The sequence below is a fragment of the Homo sapiens genome, chromosome 5 (assembly GCF_000001405.40).
Source record: "Homo sapiens chromosome 5, GRCh38.p14 Primary Assembly".
NCBI classification, from domain to species: domain Eukaryota; kingdom Metazoa; phylum Chordata; class Mammalia; order Primates; family Hominidae; genus Homo; species Homo sapiens.
In genome coordinates, this window is record NC_000005.10 from 177,793,493 (window position 1) to 177,810,677 (window position 17,185).

The 17,185-nt window shown below is 50.4% G+C and overlaps 2 pseudogenes across 1 annotated transcript; one reads left to right on the forward strand and one right to left on the reverse strand.

Annotated features, from left to right (window-relative positions):
* On the forward strand, positions 3,600–4,112 carry LOC100419951 (uncharacterized; annotated as a pseudogene).
* LOC105377752 (FAM83G pseudogene) lies at positions 7,587–16,015 on the reverse strand (annotated as a pseudogene). Its single transcript, NR_157842.1, has 4 exons — positions 15,926–16,015; positions 10,130–10,289; positions 9,749–9,909; positions 7,587–7,865 (listed from the first exon to the last, which is right to left on the reverse strand). The product of NR_157842.1 is annotated as an FAM83G pseudogene (transcript).
* Between the last annotated feature and the right edge of the window lie 1,170 nt (positions 16,016–17,185).

The following is a 17,185-nucleotide window of genomic DNA, read 5'->3' on the forward strand; positions in this document are numbered from 1 at the left end:
GCCGTCGGCCCGTGGGTATCTGAGGGGACCTGCCAATTGGACTGCCAAATTCCCCAGTTTGCTCCCAGATATTATAGAAAATTATTTGTATAAATAATGTAAAGAAAACACACCTATGGCAAAAACATATACATGTTCTTTAGCACAGGGTGAAATCATAACTGGCGTCATCTAAACATTTCCTCAAAGATCAGCCAAATCTAGGTAAATTCCGGTAAATATACTATATTCAACCTTAAAGCTTACCACCATTACATGCATGGCTATGGTAGTATGGTATCAACATCTGAACTAGTGAATCTAACACAGGTAAGAATTTTAAAATGCCCCCAGATGACTTCAAGGCCAAATTTCTGCTAAGGTCTCCACAAAATGGCTATTTTCAAATATAGCATATTCTGACTGGGTTTTCTGAGGTACTTTCCCTCATACTTTTTTTGTTCTGGGACTGGGGGCTGTGGAAGGAAAGACTGCTTTGCAATGCTGCATAATAAATATGGTTTTAAAAGTGCAAGTGTTACAAATGTCTTCCCTAATTAATCACACTCCTATATAAGTGAAAAGGTAATCTGAAATTTTGGTGGAAAATTACTTCTGCTGAAACTAATCTTAAGGTTGGACTTCTTTATTCATTAGTTTCTCTTTGATATTCATATCATCCCCTTAACTTACTCCTCTCTCACACCAACATGCACCCCCCCAAGGCTGTCGTAAAGAATTATCTTTAAAAAATCTTAAAAGCAGCTACAACATTTTCATTCCAGTTATCAAAGAGGTCATTCATGGTTCTGTAACTAGAACAGAAGTGTTAGAAAAAGGATAAAATCTATTGTAGTTGTACATAAAGAATATTACTTCCAATGTTATATAGAACTGTAAATTAAAAATAAACTAATGGAAAATATCTATTTGTAAATAATTACTTTGATCATAAACTTCTGATCTATATTCTCCTCCAAAGCATTCACATTTCAGGGTCTCACCATTTAGGTCAAAGTCTCCTCTGTGTCATTAAATGTATACCACTTTCCCTTGCCACTCCCCATAGAGCCCAGACATCAGACAAATAGAAGGTTAAAAAATAAACATCCTGGCTGGGTGCAGTGACTCCTGGCTGTAATCCCAGCACTTTGGGAGGCCAAGGTGGGAGGATCACATTGTGCTCTGGAATTTGAGACCAGCCTGGGCAGCGTGGCAAGACCCCGTGTCTCTACTAAAAATACAAAAAAATTAGCCAGGCTCGGTGGTGCGTGCCTGTAATCCCAGCTACCCAGGAGGCTGAGGCAGAGAATCGCTTGAACCTGGGAGGTAGGGGTTGCAGTGAACCGAGATCACAACACTGCATTCCAGCATGGGCGACAGAGCAAGACTGTCTCCAAAAAATAAATAAATAAATAAATAAATAAATAGAAAGTAAAGTATTATTAACTACTTGTTTTAAAAACAAAATTATTTCCAATTTATGTTCCCTCACATTTCTAAATTTTTGCAAGTGCTATCTCTTCTATCTAAGAAAAGTGTTTCCACTTCATTTCCTGCAAACGTTGATATTAGGTAACATTCAACTCTGACCTACAAAGAATAAGTCTGACTTCCTATGACATTCGAGGAAAAAGCGAAAGGCAGCTTGAAAAGCATCCTCCCGTCCCTGGTCTGGTATTCCAGTGCACCCACAACTTACCTCCCTCTTGCAGATCCCAACACATGCTGAGCTGTTCATGGCTCCATCACTGGGCTCACATTCTTCTCATTGACGGAATGGAATGACCTTCCTCTGCTTGCTTCACTTGGCTCGACAGCTTTTAAGGCTCTCTTTTAAATTTCACCACCAGGCCCTAAATTTCATCCACCACACATGAGGACAATCCTAGGTGGACATCAGAACCCAGCTGGACATCCCATCTCCAGGTGGATACTAGGCCCCCAGTCGATATCTGGCCCCAGGTTGACACCAAGGCTCCAGGTAAACATGAGGCCCAGGGTGAACATTAGGCTTCTGGTAAACACCAGGCCCATGTGGATTACTAGGACCCGGGCAGACGTCAGGCACCAGGTGTACCCTCGGGCCCCAGGTGAATATCTATGCCCCAGCTGAACATCAGTCAACAGGTGGATGCCCAAGCTCTTGGTAAATACCAGACAACAAGTGAACATCAGGGCCCAGAGAGACATTTGGTCCAGGTGGACACCTAGGTGGCCTGGTGAACATCAGGCTCCTGATAAAAACCCAGGCAACAGAAAGATAACAGACCACACCTAAACACCCAGGCCTCAGGTGGGTGTCAGGCCTCAGCTAAATACCAGGCCCCAAGTGGACACTGAACTCAGCTGCCAGGCTGACACCCAGGCCCCAGTTGCACCCCAGGTCATAGGGGAATATCAGGCCCCAGGAGGATACCCAAGCCCCAAGTAGGTATGAGGTCGCAGGTGAACACCCACCCCCAGAAGAATACCACGCCTCAAGTGAACACAAAGCCCAACGTGGATATGAGAACCCAGGTGGGCACCTGGCCTAGGGAGTATACCTAGGCCCCAGGAACTCATAAGGTCCCAGGTGGGCATGAGCCAGGTGAACCCTCAGGCCCCACGTGCACACGTGGCACCAGGTGAATAATCAGTCCCAATGTGGACACAGGACCACAGGTGAACATCAGGCTCAAGGTTGACACCCAGGCCCCAGGTTTACATGAGGACTCAAGTGAAAACTTCACTCCAAATGGACATCAGACCCCAGGCGAAATTCAGACCCAGGTGGATACCTAGGCTCCAATTGGACAGCTAGTCCCCAGGACTTCAGGCCCTAGGGTGACACCCAGGCTCCAGGTGGACACCAGGCTCATGGTAGAAATCAAGACACAAGTTGACACTTAAGAACTCAGTAAACATGAAGGCACATGTAAACTACTAGGCCCCAGGTGAACACCCATGCCCCAAGTTGACACCAGGCTCCAGGTGAACGTCAGGTCCCAGGGTGACACCAGGCCTCACATGGGTACCTAGATGCCAGGTGAACATCAGGCCACAGATGGAAACCAAAGCCACAGAAGGGTATCAGATCCCATGGAAACACCCAGGCCCCAGGTGGGAGTCGAGACCCCCTGGTAAACACCAGGCTCCTAGTGGACATTAGGGCCCAGCACAACGCCTGGCCCCAGGTGAACAACAGGCCTAAGGTAGCCATCAGGACCAAGTGGACACTGGATTCAAGCTGTACATCAGGTGTACCACAGTAATCCACACGGGGCCTGGTGTTTACCGGTGTCCAATGTCCCAGTTGGACACCAAGTCACATGGGGACACAGACTCCAGGTGGACACCCAGTCTCAGGATGGAAATCGGGCCCTAGATCAACAGAAGGCCCCAGGGTGACACCCAGGCCCCAGATGGATACCAGGCCCCAGGCGGACATCAGACCCAGGGTGGATACCCATCCCTAGGTAAACACCAGACCCCAGGCAGGTTATAGGTCCCAGGAAAACACCCAGGCCCCAGGGAGAAATCAGACCCTACGTGAACTCTGGTCTGCAGGTGCACATCAGGCTGGGTATACATCTGGGAACTTGTGTTCACCGGGGGCCTGTGTCCACCCCTTGGACCTGCTGTTCATCTGTGGCCTGGCATTCACCTGGGCCCTGAGAGTCATCCTGATGTCTGATATCCACCTGGGACCTACACAGCCACCTGGGACCTGGTGGTCACTTGAGGGCTGGTGCCCTCCTGAGGCCTGATGTCAACCTGCAGTGTGGGCATCCATTAGGGCCTGATGTCCACCTGAGGTCTGGGGCTCACCTGGGGCTTACTGTCCACGTGGAGCCTTGGTGTCACCCTGGGGCCTAATGTCCACCTGGAGCCTGGTATCCATCTAAAGCCTGGGTTCCACCTGGGGCATTGTTATGTCCACTTGAAGACTCGGTATCCAACTAGAGCCTGAGTTTCACCTAAGACCTGATATCCACGTGAGGCCTGGGTGTCCGCCTGAAGCCTTGGTATCCTCCTTGGGCCTGAAGTCCATCTGTGACATTCAGTGCACCTGGGGCCTGGGTGTAAACCTCGTGCCTGATGTATACGTCAAGTCCAGTGTGCACCTGGGACCCGATGGCCCCCTGAGGCCATATATCCACCTGGAACCAGAGTGTCCATTTGGGGCCTAATGTTCACCAGGAACATAACTATCCACGTGGGGCCTCATGTCTACCTGGGGCCCAGGTGTCAACGTGGGGCCTAGGCATCACCTGGGGCCTGGTGTCCATCTGGAACCTATTTGTCAACTGGGAACCTGATGTCCGCCTGGTGCCTGATGTCCATTTGGAAACTGGAGTCCACCTGGGAACTGGCATACACCTAAGACATAGCGTCAATCTGGTGTTGGATGTCCAATGTTCACCTGGGACTGTCCACTTGAGGCCTGATGTTTGCCTGGAGCCTAGGTCTCCACTTTGCTCCTGAATATTGACTGAGGCCTGGGTGTCCACGTGGGGCCTTATGCCTACCCAAAAAGGGCTGTGGCACAATGCACCTCGCCCAATTCCTGGGAAAAGTTTGTGGAGAGTTGCTGAACACCCACCCCTCACGGTTCAGGAACATGCCCTCCTGAAGACACCATCCAGGAAAGTGACTTCTTGGCCCAGGTCACTGCTCAGGGCATGAAGATCTGGAGATGGCACTGGGAACAGAGATGCAGCTGCAGTCGCTCAGGCTCGCCTCCACCGCCGTCGTGCCACAGGCCGCTGGATGCTTCCAAATCAGGTGCTGGAATTGGGGCCCTGGAGCTTCGCCCCATCCTGCTGCCAACAGGAAAAGGGCAGCGCCAGAGAACGCTGCCCTTACCACTGCTCCAGGCCTAAGTCAACCTGCTGGGCTAATCCTCAAGGGCAAAGGCCACACGGGCCATCAGCCGCCGCCACCTGATGCGAAGAAAGGCAGCTGAGAAAAGGCTGCCTGCTGGCAAAGCGACCCCAGAACCAGCCAGCCGGTGGCGCCCAGGGCTGCGAGAACTTTCTCCAAGGTAAGCTCTTGGCCTTCCTTGGTTTTGCTGTACTTTGCAAGTTGTGATTTTCTGAAAAGTGAGTAGGATGTTTTCGGGGCGGCCTTAGCAATTTCTAGCCCTAAGAGTGATGTAGGAGAGTCCCAGTTGCTCCCATCCCCGCTGACACTGAGCGGCCCACAGTTGCTCCCATCCCCGCTGACACTGAGCGGCCCACAGGGGAAAATCCAGAGATGGCTTGATTCCGTCTGACATTTCATTTCAGTGTGGTTTCCAGTGTTTCTTAGGAAACTGGGCCTAGGTTGGTTTGTGTCTTCTTCATACCATCCTTCTCGTACTTTCTTTGTGTTCTTTCCTGGTTGCTATTTTCACTTTTCTTATACTGAATACGTAGGTCCCACGTTTCCATTCCTTCTTCCTTTCCAGTCTGTGTGTATTCTGTGCAACGCCTGTGCTAGGTAACGTCGGGCCCCAGGTGAACACTTTTGACCCCAGGTGGACGTGAGGCTCCAGGTGAATACCCAGCACCTACGTGGACACCAGGCCCCACATGGACAGCAGTCCCCAGGTAAATATAAGGCCCCAGTTTGAAACCCAGCACCCACCTGAGTCAAGATGACACCTTCCCCACCGCGTTGGCAGGAGGGGCAATTCCCAGATGACAAGGGGCAGGGCCAGAGCAACTCTCTACACACTCTCCCCAGGACAAGGGCGGGTGCGTGGGACACACCCCCTCCAGGTGGGCATAAGGCCCCAGCGGACACAAAGGCCCCAGGAAAACGTCGGGCCCCAAGTGCACACTGGACTCAAGGTGGACGTTGGACACCAGGCCCCGGGTGGACAACAGGTCCCAGAGGGACTCCAGTTCCTGCATGGACATCAGGCCTCCGCTGGACATCAGGTCGCAGTTTGGCGTGGAGGCCCCAGGTGGATATGAGGCCCCAGCTAGACATCAGGCCCCAGGTGAACGCCCAGGCCTCAGGTAAATACCAGGCCCCAGGTGGACCCGAGGCCCCAGGTACATACCAGGCCCCAGGTGGAAACCTGGCCACAGATGGACATCAGGCATCTTGGAGGAACACCAGGCGCCACTTGAACCCCAGGCTCCAAGTGGATGTCCAGGCCCCAAGTAAGTATCAGGGCCAAGGTGAACAGGGGGCCCCAAGTGGACAGCAGGCCACAGGTGGATGCCTAGGCTCCTGGTGAACAGCAGGTCCCTGGTGAGAATTAGGCCCCAGACGGACACCCTGACCCCAAGGGAACATCTGATTCCAGATGGACATCGGGTCCTGGATAAGCACATGGTCCCTATATAGACATCAGCTCCAAGTAGACACTAGTCCCCAGATAGACATAAGGCCCCAGGTGCACACGGACTCAAGGTGTCCATCAAGCACCAGGCTCCCACCCAGGCCATAGCTGGACACAAAGTCACAGGTGGACAGCCATCCCACAGAGAATACCAAGGACTCAGGTGGACATCCAGGCTCAAGGGGAGCATGAGGCCCTATGTAGGCAGCAGGCAGAGGATGGGTATCAGACTCCAGGAGTACAATAGGCCCGAAGTGGATACCAGGCCCCATCTGAGTATCAATCCTCATGGGACAGCACGCTCCATATGGACACCAGGCATCAAGTACATGCCTAGGCCCCTGGTGCGTATCAGGCCCCATGGGGACACTCAGACCAGAGCTGGACATGTGGCCCCAAGTGGACACCCAGGACCCAGGTGGATACCTATACCCAGGACTTCAGGCTTCAAGGGACCACAAGGCCCCAGGTGGCTGTGGAGGCCCCAAGTAGGTATCAGGTACCAAGCTGACACCCGGGCACAGGTGGACACAAGGCCCCAGAGGATCAAGAGGTCCAAGGTGGACAACAGGTCTTAGGTAAGCAACAGTAACCAGGTGGACACCCATACCCCAGGTAGAAACCAGGCCGAAACCAGGCCTCAGCAGCACACCAGGCCTCAGGAGGATACCTAGGAACCGGGTGGACATCAGGTCCCAAGTGTTCACTGAGGCCCCAGGTCAAAACCAGGCTCCTGAAGGACACCTGGGCCCCAGGTGGACGACACTTGACTCCAAACGGACATCGGGTCCTGGGTGGACATAGGCCCCAGGGAGATACCTTGGCTCCTGGTGAACATTAGACCCCAGGTACACATCTAGGTCCCACGTGGACATCCGGGCCCAGAACGTCCTCAGGCACCGAGAAACACTCAGGCCCCAGCTGGACATCTGGTCCCAGGCTGACACCCAGGCCTCAGGTGGACACCAGTTGCTAGAAGAACTTCAGGCCCCTGCTAAAATCAAGCCCCGGGTGGATACCCAGGCCTTATACCAGGTCCCAGGTTTTAGATTTTATAAAAATAGAAAAGTTAGCCAGGCATTGTGGGGCATGCCTGTAATCCCAGCTACTTGGGTGGCTGAGGCAGTAGAATCACTTGAATCCGGGAGGTGGAGTTTGCAGTGAGCCAAGATTGCGCTACTGCACTCCAGCCGGGGTGACAGAGGGAGACTCCATCTCAAAAAAGAAAATAACATTCTCTGCATAATTAATTTGTGTTTTTGACTGATAAAGCACACCAGAGTTGAACATATTCTTATTAATATAAGTCATGTTTAAGAAAAACTAGAATTCGAAATTTGAACCTCAGCAAATCAATACCAGTCATTACTCAAATGGCATAAAAATAAGAAAAAGTGGCCATAGGTTATTACAATATTTGTGTTTAACTTGTAGAGAATATACACATTTATTTAAATTCTAAGGTTAAAATATTTTGTGAATGATTAATTTTCTTCTTGCAAAATCCATTGAGAATATAGTAGTCCTCCTTTATCCATAGGGGATACATTTCAAGATCTTCAGAGGATGCCTGAAACCACAGATAGTACTAAATCCAATATAGATTATCTTTGTTTCTACACATGCATGCCCTATGATTAACTTTCACCTTTTCACTTAAAAGGAACACTTTATGGCTTCTCTTTGGCATTTTTGAATTGCCAGCATCAGTACTTTTGCACTTTGGGGCCATTAAGTAAAACAAGATTTCTTTGAACACAAACACCGTGATATCTCAACAGAGAATTTGACGACCCAGAGAGCTGCTAAGTGACTAACAAGTGGGAAGGTAGACAGGTGGATGTTGTGGGCAGAGATGATTCACGTCCTGGGTGGGCCTTGAGTAGAGGGGGATGACAGGAGCTCCCACCACACTACTTGGAACAGCACAGCAAGTTAAAACTTGTCAGTTGTTTATCTGTGGATTTTTCATTTAATGTTTTCAGACCAGGATTGCCTGTAGGTAAGTGAAACCGTGAAAGCCAAATGCAGCTTACGTGGGACTACGGTATTAGACAGAGATGTTAACGAAGCGATCATGCTGTCATAGCCCCTGGTGTGCTGTTACTCACATTTTAAAACAAAATCATTCATTATAAAAGCTAGTCTGTTTAAGTGAGGAGTATAGTGCTACTATGTTAGATTGCACATGCTGGAAAATATTCTCTGTAAAATGCAGCCCTCAATTTCAAAGCTGTTTTTTCAGTTTTAAAACTGGCTTTTATTTATTTAAAACTGGGCACGGTGGCTTACACCTGTAATCCCAGCACTTTCGGAGACCAAGGTGGATGGATCACAAGGTCAGGAGTTCGAAACCAGCCTGCCCAACATGGTGAAACTCTTGTCTCTACTAGAAATACAAAAAAATTAGCCAGACACTAGCTGGGTGCGGTGGCTCACGCTTGTAATCCCAGCACTTTGGGAGGCCGAGGCAAGTGGATCACGAGGTCCGGAGCTCGAGACCAGCCTGGCCAATATGGTGAAACCCCGTATCTACAGAAAATACAAAAAGTAGTTGGGCATAGTGGTGTGCGCCTGTAGTCCCAGCTGCTTGGGAGGCTGAGGCAGGAGAATTGCTTGAACCCAGGAGGCAGCGGTTGCAGTGAGCCGAGATCGCACCACTGCACTCCAACCTAGGTGACAGAGCAAGACTCGGTCTCAAAAAAAAAAAAAAAAAAAAAATTAGCCAGACACCAAATGCCAGGGTGTCTGGGCAGAACAGAGTTGGAGCAATGAGATGTTGTATAGCCCAGAAAGGGGAGGTGACAGGCCCAGGGACACACAGAAAAGCAGCGCTGGGGACCTGCAGCCCACCTTGATCCCACTGGCAGCCATCTCTGATTCACCTCTGTTCCGTGCTTTCTCCCCACCCTAAAGGTTCTACTCTGCTCATGTGCCTCAAATCCACTTCAACTGTGCAGACATCAAGGAAGCCTTCCCTGGCCTCAGCCTGAGGGAGAGCTGCTTCTGTCTGAGCCAGATCCTAAAACCAGTAAATGGACATTCTAAGGAGACAGGTTTTGGCTTAACCCAAGAAAGACTTCCTGGGAACTGAATCTCTCCAGATAGGCCACGAGCTACCTGAGGACATAGTGAGCACACTATGACCAGGGGTATGCAAGCAGACAGGTAACCAATGTGGCATGGGCTGCTCTGAAATAACATATGATGCAGCACTCGGCATGAGCTCCAGCACCTGGTCAGCAAGCACCTCATCAATGTTTATCTTATCTCTGTCCCATCAGACATGGCAAGTATCCTGTCCCTCAGGGAATTCAAGCAGAGGCTCTAGGATTACTGGACTCTGAGTGCCTGGCACAGGACTCCGTCCAGAGCAGGCAGGTACTCGAGGTGTTTGACAAACTGAATGACCCCTGCCATCTGGCCACGTAGGCAAGTGAGGAGCCTGCTCACCTTGAGGTGCCCCAGGTGCATGCGGGTCCGCTCACACATATGCAGAACGTACTTGACTTTACTCTCGTCCACGATGATGTACAAAGCTGCTTTCCTCTTGAAGCCGGCGTCCAGCAGGTCTTTGAAGATGTCCACATGGGTGAACATGTCCATGACCACAGCTATCACCCAGGAGCAAGAAGAGAGACAGGGGCCTGTCAGACAGCACAGCAGTGGGGACACAGTGCCTCAGCAGAACGCACAGCCCTCCCATGCCACCAGCTTCTCACGGGTGCCCACTCTGATCCCATTCCTGGAACCTCAGGACCGGGACCAGGAAGTGAAGGGCATGGGGTCTCTCTTGCCCTGAAGTTCTAGCTGCAGCCCCAGCTCTGGACTCACCAGGGACCCCGTGTTGGTGCATTCCCAGGCCAGGGCTGGCTACACTCTGCCCTCCTCATAACACCTAGGGATGCTGAGGTGAACCAGATGTGTCAATGGCCAGGGGAGAAGGGCAGCAGCTGGCGTGGCCACTTGCTGGGACCTCCTCTGCATACCTGGGCTGGTGTGGATAGAATGATAGGAAAATAAGAAACCTGAACAGACCAATAATGAGTAATGCAATTAAAGCAGTAATAAAAAGTCTCCTGTCAAAGAAACCCACAAGAATCATGGTTTTACTGCTGAATTCAACCAAATGTTTTAAAAGAGCTAATACCAATTTTACCAAAACATTCCCCCAAAGAATGAAGAGGAAGGAATGCTTCCAAACTTGTTCTATGAGGCCAGAATTACCTTGGTACAAAAAGCAGACCAAAACACAACACAAAAAGAAAACCACAGGGAAACACTCCTGATGAACACAGATGCAAAAATCCTCAGCAAAATACTTGAAAAATGCATTTGACAAGACAATAAAAATATCATCTGCCATAATCAAGTGGGATTCATCCCAGGAATATGAGGATGATTCAATAAACACAAATAAATAAATGTGCTACACCACATTCAGTGAATCAAAAAAAAAACCATATAATCATTTCGGTAGATGCTGAAAAAAATTAAACATTCCTTCATAATAAAAATTCAACAAAATGAGTACAGAAAAAAACATATCTCAGCAAAATAAAGGCCATATATGACAAAAACACAGCTAACATCATAAACAATGGGAAAAAGTTAAAAGCTCTTCCTCTAAGATCTGGAACAAGTGTGGCTACTTTTTTTTTTGAGATGGAGTCTTGCTCTGTCACCCAGGCTGGAGTGCAGTGGCGCGATCTCAGCTCACTGCAAGCTCTACCTCCCAGGTTCACGCCATTCTCCTGCCTCAGCCTCCTGAGTAGCTGGGACTACAGGCGCCTGCCACCACGCCCAGCTATTTTTTTTTTTTTTTTTTTGTATTTTTAGTAGAGACGGGGTTTCACTCTGTTAGCCAGGATGGTCTTGATCTCCTGACCTCGTGATCCGCCCACCTCGGCCTCCCAAAGTTGCTGGGATTACAGGCATGAGCCACTGCGCCTGGCCCAAGTGTGGCTACTTTTACCACTTTTATTCATCATAGTACTGGAAGTCTGAGCTAGAGCAATTAGACAGGAGAATGCAATAAAAAGCATCCAAATGGGAAAAAAGGAATTCAAATTGTCTCTGTTTGCAAGTGACATGATCTTTCACATATGGAGAGAATCCTAGAGATTATACAACAAAACCTACTAGAAACAATAAATATAGTAAAGTTACTAGACACAATATCAATATACAAAAATGAGTAGCACACGCATGCGCCAATAGTGAAACACCTAAGAAAGAAATCAAGAAAGCTATTTCATTACTGCTACCAACAAAAAAATACCTAGAGATAACCAAAAAGGTTAAAGATCCCACAACAAAATTATAAAACATAGATGAAAAATATTAAAGCAGACACATGTAAATGGACAGATATCCCATGTCCAAACACTAGAAGAATATTGGTAAAATATCTGTATCACCCAATGTGAGCTACAGAATCAATGCAATCCACGTTAAATTACAAAACACATTCTTCATAGAAATAGAAAAAAAATTCTAAAATTCACATGGAAATGCAAAATACCTCAGATAAAATAATATTGAATAAAAAGAAAAAAGCTGGAGGCATCACAATACCTGGTTTCAAAATATACTACCAAAATACCATGGAACTGGCAAAAAAAGGGGCAAGGAGAGACAGAGACAGACAGACATAGATGAATGACAGAGACAAAGACAAATGAAACAGTGTAGAGAACTCAGAAATAAATTCACGCATTTACAGTCAACTCATTTTTAACAAAGGCACCAAGAACACACCTTTGAGAAGGACAATCTCTTCAGTAAACGCTAGGAAAACACAACACCCACACGTAGGAGAATAAATTTAGATCTTTATCTTACCATATACAAAAATCTACTCAAAGATTGACATGTAGAACCTGAAACTATGAAACTACTAGAGAAGATGACATAGGATAAATACTTCATGGAATTGGTTAGGACAAGGGATTTTGAAACAGACATCAAAAGCACAAGCAACAAAAGCCAAAATAGAGAAATGCAATTACATTAAACTTAAAAGCTTCTGCAAAGCAGAGGAAGCAATCAATAGAATGAAGAAACAAACCAGACAATGGAAGTATTTGCAAACTATACATCAGGCAAAGGGTTAATACACAAAACATATAAAGAACTGAAGCTACTCAAAAGCAAAAATACAAATAATCTGATTTAAAAATCAGAAAAAGATCTACTCAAAACCTTTGTCCCCCACCATTATTTCCCCATCTTTTTTTCCCGACGACCTTTGGCCCCCTCTCTTTCGCCACACTTTTTCTTCCTCCATCTACCCCAAAACTTTTTCCCCCACCATCTTTTCGCAAAGCCTTCTCTACTCACCCGCTCACTACTGTTTTCCCCACCCATCTACCCAAAAACTTTTCCCCACCGTCTTTTCTCCCTCTCCCTGGCCACCCTTTTTTGCCCCTCCGGCTCTCATCACCCTCTTTTGTTCCTTCATCTCCCCAAATACATTTTCTCCCATCTCTTCCCAAAGCCTTCTCTCCACTCCTGCTGCTTGCCACCCTCCTTCCCCCTCCATCTACCCAAAAACTGTTTCCCCATCGTCTTTTTCTCCTTTCCTCCTTGCCATCCTCTTTCCCTTCTCCATCTACCCAAAAACATCCCAGCCATCTTTTTGCAAAGCCGCCTTCCTACTCCTCCTTACCACCCTCGTTTACCCATCTACCTCCCCAATTTTCCCCCACCGTCTTTTCACAAAGGCCTTCCCTGCTTCCCGCTCACCCTCTTCTTTCCTCTATCCTGTTTGCCACCCTCTTTTTGCCCTCCATCTACCCCAAACTATTTTCCCTATCATCTTTTTCCCAACTCTCCCCACTCCCCCTGGGCACCTTCTATTCTCCTCTCACTTGCCACCCTCTTTTCCCCCTCCATTTACCCACTTTCTACCCACCGTGTTTTCTTTCTGCACTTTCTTTTCTGCCCACCGGTTTTTCCCAAAACCTTTTCTCCCTGCTCGCCACCCTCTTTATCTTTCTCCCGCTTGCCACCCTCTTTTCCCCTTCATCTACTTAAAAGCTTCTCTCCTCACTGCCTTTTCACAAAACCTTCTCTCCCTCCTGCTCGCCACTCTCTCCTCCCCCTCCCTCTCTGCACCCTCTTTTCTCCTCCCACTTGCCACCCCTTTTCCCCGCTCCATCTACTCAAAATCTTTTTATCCACCCTCTTCTTTCCCTTTCTTTTTTTCCCAACTGTATTTTTGCAAACTTTCTCTCCCTCCTGCTCACCCCCGTTCCCCCCACCACCCTCTCTTTCCCCCTTCCATCTACCCAAAAACTTTTTCCCCACCATCTTTCTGCAAAACTTTCTCTCCCTCCTGTTCACCACCGTTTTTCCCCCTCCACCTACCCCCAACATTTTTTCCCCACCATCTTTTCCTCACTGTCTTTTTGCAACACCTTCTCCTGCTCGCCATCCTCTTTTCCCTTTGGCACTAACCACCCTCTTTACTCCTCCATCTACCCCAAAACTATTTTCCCCTTCCTACCGCTCCAGCCACACTGCAGTCTCCGTCGCTGCCACCAACCGCAGCGAGGCGAGCTGTGGTGCCGCAGCCACAGCCTCCAGCATGCAGCGGTGGCTAGCCCTTGTCCTGGTCCTCTAAGCCGGGAACGGAGCAGCCCCGCGCGCAGACACGCATGAGCCTAGAACGGCCTGACTCCCCTTCGGCACCATTTATATACTGAGGTTATGCATATGAGGTTCCTGGATTACATGTTCCAGGATTGGGTAAGAGAAAACGCAGAGGCCTACTCTGATTGGACTTTGTTAGCATGTTCTGATTGGATGAGAGCAAGTCTTAGGACAACCAGTCAGCGTATGAAATAAAGTCCAATCAGAGAAGGCCTAGAGGTTTTCTCTCATCCAATCAGAACATGTAGTTCAGAATCCTTGTGCATAACCCCATGTGCATGCTGAGGAGGCCTCACGCCATCCTAGGCTTTCCTAAATCGGCCGGCGGAGCTACTCTGTTCCCAGCTCAGCAGATCAAGAGAAGGGGGAGCTGGATGCTGGAGCCTGCAACACTGTGGCTCGCCTCGCTACAGTTGGCGGTGGTGACAGAGACAGCGGGCAGCACGGCCAGAGTGGTAGAAGGGAGGATGGCAGCGGGAGCTGCTCTTGACTGGCTAGCGGTCTAGAAGAAGGGGGGCCCTCTGCTCCACGCTGGAGGCTGGAGCCTCGGCCACCGAGGCTCCTCTGGCTGCGGTTGGTGGTGGCGACCGAGACTGCAGGTCTGTTAGAGTGGTAGAAAGTTTGCCGGGTAGGTGCACTCTTTGCGGCTGCACTGCCCTCCTGCAGGGGGTTGGGGAGGCATATTTGGTAAGCTGTTGAGGCTGCAGTGCCTGCCGCGGAGTTAGGGAGGGGCTGGTGGGGGTGCTATCTGGCATTGCATTGCTGTGGGGGTGGGGGGCAGGTTGGCTGAGTTATCAGGGCCTACAGTGCCCAAGGTCGAGGGGTCGGAGGCAGGTTGTGTGCGCTATTGTGCACAGCCAGCGGCTCATGGGGGCAGGTTAGGGGTGTTATTTGCTGCACTGCCAGAGGCAGGGGGCAGGTTGGGTGTGCTATCCTGGGCTACAATGCCAGCAACAATGTGGGCCGGCAGTCGGGGGAGGTTTAGGGGAGCTGTCAAATGCTGCAGTGCTTGTGGGGGAAGGGGGAAAGGGGAAGGTGGGGTGGGGGGTTTGGTTGGGTGCACTATCCCGGGCATTCACTGCCCACGATGGGAGCAGGTTGGGGGCGCTATCCAGGGCTGTGCTGCCTGTGGCCCTGGTGGGGGGCTGGTTTGGGGCGCTGTCAGGTGCTGCAATGCCGGTAGCGGGACGGGCTGTGGACACCATCAAATGCTACACTGCTGGGGGCAGAGTGGTGGTTTGGGGGCACTATTGGGGTTACATTGCCTACTACAGTAGTCTCTGGGTGTGTTGTGGGTGCAATCCGGGGGCTGCATTGCCGGCAGCGGGGGCCAGGTTAGGGGCGCTATCGGGGTCTGCACTGCTGCCACCAGAGGCAGGTTGTGGAGGTGGCCGGGACAACGGTTGCCTCTGAGGAAGGGGACCTTCTTCTTTTCTCAGACTCAGGGCTCTAGAGAGAGAACTCCTCCTGCTTGTGTGGGAGTGTGGCGGGCGCACAGAGTTTTCATGCCAATCCTCTAAGCATGGCAGGGCCCCCACACCCACTGTGGTTCCCCAGCCCTTGCCCTCTCGCTCCATGTTGTGGAGACCATCTGGGACCCCCAGGCATGGAGCAGGAGTAGTGGGCACCACGGGGGCTCAGGGCCTGTGGGTGGAGGAGTCAGGAATGGGAACCAGTACTTGGGTGGGGAGTACTGGCTGAGTGTGAGTTTCTGCTGTTCCTGCTCCCCAGGGAGTGTCGGGCACTGTGGTGTCTCCAGTCCCCACCCCAGGTCAGGAGGCCAGCTTGGGCCAGGAGGAGAGGCTGGACTTTGGCAGGTGAGTGTGAATGCCTTTGCTGAAACTGGCCGCTGCCACCCAGTGGCCAGCATGACAAGGCGAGGCTTTAACACTACCACTTTCTGCATCCCGTTGTAGGTTTTTCTGGCTTTTCCTCTCCAGCTGTTCCAAGCCAGGCTGGTGAAGTAGGAGTCACCTGTGGTGAGCTGGAGGTTGGAGCCTGTAGATGGCGTGGCTCTGTGGCTCACTTCCTGTGGTTGTGGCAGCGACAGCGATGGAGACTGCAGCTCGACAGGAATGGTAGGAGGGTGCCCGTGGAGGCCAGGTGGAAGGAGCCCTGGAGGGTGGGTGGGTGCATGGAAGGTGACAGAAGCACTGGTTGTGTTGGCATCGGCGGTAATAGTGGTAACAGCAGCAAGTCTGGGGGCCGGGAAGGGGGAGTAGGAGAGCTTTGGGGCCTGGCCTGGCCTGGGGTGTGTAGGAAGCTGCTGGTTCTGTACTGCAGGCCTCAGTGACAGTGGTGGAGGTGCAGCCAGGGCAAGGAGGAGTCCTCCCCTTTCTTCTGCAGTTTCTGGAGGGTGTCCTCCTCCTGCTGGTGCCTGAGCCAGGAGTGAGTGGCAGCATTGTCTCATTCTTAACAGAATTTAGGGGGTGACTAGTTGTGTGTCTTTTTGCTTGTGTTTGTTTTGATAACTTATCCCTTAAGGAACAAAAGGCTTCTTTGGCTGGGTTTTGGTGTGGTGGGATCCCCTTCCCATGCAAGATAAAGGGTGCTTTCCTGGGAAGGTGTGTGTTGGAGGGAGTTCATCAAGGAGAAGAAAGGGAACCTCCCAGGAGGGTGGCTGCTGTGGCAGATCCCCTACCTCTGGGCAGCCTCTGGGCCACCTAGTTTCTCCTGTGGAAGAAGGGAGGCTTAGACCTGTGTCACCTGTATCATCAAAGAGGCATCCTCCTGGGCCAGTCGATTTGGCCTTCCCACTTCTTCAGCCCACCTGCCCATGGTGTCACCTGGGGGAAGTGGATCCTCACACCACAGGGGCAGAGGCTTCTCCGGCAGGCTGATTGCTGAAAGGGGTTCTGTCCTGCCTGCTGCTCAGGAGGGATTCTATGGCCAGGAACTGATGCCGGGACTCTCCTGTTCATGTCCTGCTGCCTCTGTGTTGTCTCTGGGTTCTCAGGGACTCTCAGATCTGTGAAGACAAAAAGGTTTCCTGGCTAGTTTGCGTGGTGTGGCTGGGGTCACTTTTGCTACATGCCCCTCAGGCACCCCAGTGCCTCTGGGGAAAAAGGGAATTTTAGATTTACTAGAGAAAGAATGTGTCTATGTTGGCTGCTTATTGTTAGCAAACTTCTGAACAGTTCTACTCTAAGATCATAGCAGAATGGTTGCCTCTTGTTGGATAGACTCCCGCTCCACTGGGGAAGAAACGAGCTTACCTGGACTGTGTTTCTTGCT